The sequence below is a fragment of the Homo sapiens genome, chromosome 5 (assembly GCF_000001405.40).
Source record: "Homo sapiens chromosome 5, GRCh38.p14 Primary Assembly".
In the NCBI taxonomy this organism is placed as follows: Eukaryota; Metazoa; Chordata; class Mammalia; order Primates; family Hominidae; genus Homo; species Homo sapiens.
This window is the reverse complement of record NC_000005.10, coordinates 92976860-92981000: the sequence shown is the minus strand read 5'-3', so window position 1 is coordinate 92981000 and position 4141 is coordinate 92976860. Positions and strand designations below refer to the sequence as shown.

Sequence of the window (4141 nt, the reverse complement as noted above, 5' to 3'; positions counted from 1 at the left end):
GATTTGGGGGATAGAAACTTTGATATGCTTATTCATTTATATTGTTTTAGCTCCCATAACTAACCACAAGGAAGAGGATAGTGAATATCCTCTTTATTTGTGAATAAAGTCATATATCATGCCTTAAACTTCCAAGGTAAACTTGTTGGTTAATTACTTAAACTGTGATATCAGATTAAAGGTGATTTGCCTGGTTTGGGAACGTCATTTGGTGATGTTCTGATTAATGCACTACCATGAGCAAAGGCAACAGATTAACTATAGCATGAACAGTAACACACTAATTCCTCACTGAAACTCTCAACAGTTGAGTCACATGCAGATTCAATTGTTTTACATGTTTCACAATCTTTTTTCCCTAATGGAACAATAAACATTAACTCATTACTCTGAAAGCACCTTAAGAAAATCTGGCTGACATACATTACTCTCTATTAAAATTTTTTTCTTGATTACAATGCCAACTTTCCTTTCTGCAGCGCGATAGAGTTGTATTTTATTTTAAAAGAAACATGATTAAACTTCCCCACAAATATTTCAGATTTGTTATGGGCCACTAAAACGTCAGATCTCTGATAGTTCTGTCAATTCATTCTTTTTCAAGATGATATATGAAACATACTGGAGAGTGGGGTATGTTATAATCTGGAATTTAGAACTTGAACAGAGACTTTTTTAAGGCACTAAGATTACTTAAAAAAAAAAAAGGCACAGTGCCTTTTTGTTCCAAATGTGTTTTCCAACACCAAACATTCCTAGAAATACTTAAATCATAATGTCAATGTCCTTGCATTTACAACCATGATACTTTTAATATGGAAGTTCATGCTACATTTTTCCATTTTTCAGTTTTACTGAAAACACAGAAGAGATCAGTGGAAACTCTCTGCAGGCTTTTTAGAGGCAAAGCTGAAGTCCAGGAAAACTTTGGTGGAAGGCCTTTGCTGTCCAAACCCCTTGTGAAGGAACCTTCTGTCCTGTAGTGGGATTGCAGCTTCTTGGAAAGGGGAGCCATTTATCACAGTCCTAAATGAAAGCATTCTTTAAACACAAATGTCTTTTTTTCCCTTTGTCTAATTACTGAGAGGAAAAGTGAGAAGGAAATGTCAAAACAGAGAAACAGTGGTGTATAGAGAGAGCAGCCACTCTGGAGCTCAACCAGCTTTTGTGAGGGTCTGGGCGATTTGTCAAATGGTTGTGGCATAAGTCAAGCTCTGAGGTTGAAAGGTCTTGACCTAAGGAGTCCTGGAATCAGACAGTGTAAGCAAGGGGTCTGCTAGAATTTTCAGCTGTAGTGGAGATGAACAATGATGGGAGCTGGACATAACAAAACCTCATTTGCATAATTCAGGTAAGTAATTTTATTGAAACTGACAAGGATGTGACAGGCTAAGAAAGAGAAGAGAACACACTCTTGCTGGGAACCACTAAAGCTTCTCAGTTAGGTATGTGAAAATAAATGACAGCTAATCTCTTCACTAAGAAATCTGTAAACAATGCCATTTTACCCAGGACTCACCCATGACCTTTTGTAGAGCTGGTTATAGATTCCTTAGTCCAGTCTTCCAGAATATAGCAGATGGAATGGGCTAAATTCAAATTATGTTTTAGGCTTTACATTATAGTAATTATTTACCTGAATAGGAGTTCCCTCCAAAGCAGGTCTACATTGAGAAAGAAAGAATAGAAACTTTTTAAAGTGGGTGGTGATCAAATATTTGAGATCGATGCTATATAAAATAATATTTTTACTTAAGAATTGATATTTTGGGGGGGACAATTTTAACTTGAGTAGCTTGTACAAAGAATGAATAAAGGTGAAATGCTTTCAGAGTTTCAGTTTACTGATGTGTATTACAGATTTTACTAATCTTTACCAGTTGATTTTTTTTCAGCTGTTTTTTCCTTTCTATTGTAAAAGGTGTGGATTTAAGCAAGCCATGAATTTAATATTGATCCATATTATTTAACAATTAAAATATTTAATGCCTAATAAATACTGTCATTGAATTTTGATAAAATCTTGTAACATCAACAAGATCTACAAATTAGATTTTATGTAGCCAGGATATACCTATCCATAAAAAAGTATCACAAATGATAAGGTTATCAGTAAAAGGGTTTCCTTGTTTTAGATAAGAGAAACTAAATTCTTAAAAGCACTTTCCATGTTTTTTATATTTGGCTTTGCTTTTGTGTGTGGATTGCCAGGAGATAGCTACATATCTTTTGTAATCCAGGCTGCTTACCAGTCATTGGTGACTTTTATAGGCAAGGGCAGTAATGGATGGAAATAGTAATCAGGCTAGGGAAGAATGCTACTCTAACCTCGTTTTACAGAGGAGAACCATGTCTGCAATGCCCTTCAAACAAGCGAAAAATATGAAACCCACTTAGTCAGATGTGAGGTGCAAAATCTCCAAGCCTTTTTGGTGGCAAATATACAGGCAGTCCTTCTGCAGTGTATGGAACACATGTACAGTTTGACCAAAATGTGGATCGTTTCGTTGAATGGAAAGCAGAGAGTTCTGGCTAGATCAAATGTGGATCTCAGTATTATAAGCAGGCTAATGCATAATTCATGAGGCTTAATGAATATTCCAATTCATGACAGCCAACTGGCTCCATAGGTCACACCTCCCAGTCTCATATAAATAAAGAATGAGATACTGGAAAGCATACCAGCTGAACCAAACTGAGTGCCAAAAACATGCATATTAATGAGGCACTATAATAGATACTTGACTCTTTGGAAGTGCCTATATTGGTTTCCAGCTACAGAGGGAAAGAAAGTTCACAATGTACCTTTAAACACACCATACTGTGCACCATAAAATACAGCTCTTTCTATGAAATATGGAATCAACTTATACTGATGTGATTTCAGATTCAGTCATTAACTCCATAACATCCTCTGACACTCCATCAACATTGAAACATTCTGGAAAGATCCCCACCCCCTGCTCCCATGTGCCTTTGCAAGTCTCAACTTGGTAACTAGGGAGAGGAAGTCCTTCAACAGTGCCGTTCTTTTATGTGTTCTGTTTAGACCTTGGATCAGGATGAATGGTAGCTCAGATGAATGCATTTGTGCCATTTTTCTTGGCCCCAGACTATGTTTCCTCACTACCATGACATCTGAACAGAAGGAGAAAACATCTCCCTTTTGTAGCAGGCTAATTTAATTTGTACCTTCCACCTAGGGGTAAATATGTTTGTCTGTCTGTCTGAGCTTTTTGCCCACTTTCTTTTCTCACGGGAAACCCTTCTGAGTAGAAAGCAGGAAATTGCTTACTGCTCTAACTTTATTTTAAAGTAATTTAATTTTAAGCCTTCTCACATCCACCCTAAAGTGAAGCAACTGTTGGAACCCCCTCGGGATACCCTTAATGACTTCTGCATGTCTCCTGTGTCACAGATGTCAAAGGCTTGTTGTTTCCAAGGTGTTTTATCTTTTGGTATAGGTGGTTTAAAAGACACTGCTTTGGGCTGTTTTACCCGCAGAAGATGTGCATTTGTTTTAAAATAATGAAGAAAAAAATTCTTGCAGCTTTTACATTGACCCACATCCTTTCAAATCCACATTTCAAGTCATTGATCTTTACTAGATTTTTAGTTGATCTTGGGCATTATTTGTGGCTTGACCTTGTTTGATGTGGAGAATTTGTCAAAGATCTAAATAAGCAACCAACAAACACATCTTTCCCTAAGTAAAATAGCAGTAAAAATGTCTAAGTATTTGATGTAAGTATTGTTACTATGTCTTAAGGTATACAAGATATGGTGAACCTCAAATTAAAATTATGGCTAGTAGCAAAATAATCTACTTATTCATAAAGTTTAAATAGGGCCAAATTTCTTATTTACATTAAATGGATTTATCAAAATGCATTCTGTTTCTCTTAATTCTTGTAATAGTTTTTAAAGCATTTTAAGGGAAAAATTGCTTCTTTTTTCTTATGTTTGTGAGTACACATTTAAATTGAATTCCCTTTTATGGTACTTATATCTCTCTAATAAATATTAAACTTCTTTTAATATTCAGTTCACAATTAATAATTACACATTACAAGAAATAAGACTTATGCTTGACATTGCATTATAAGCACAATTATTTGTTTAGAAGAGAAAAATAATTTTT

General features: G+C 35.3%; 2 annotated features.

The window, feature by feature from the left end:
• Positions 625 to 1927: an enhancer, noted in NCBI's record as "VISTA enhancer hs1049". NCBI's record gives its function as "enhancer in: other[7/8]" and the evidence as "EXISTENCE:transgenic organism evidence [ECO:0001131][PMID:17130149]".
• Positions 2063 to 3868: an enhancer, noted in NCBI's record as "VISTA enhancer hs1024". NCBI's record gives its function as "enhancer in: forebrain[8/9]" and the evidence as "EXISTENCE:transgenic organism evidence [ECO:0001131][PMID:17130149]".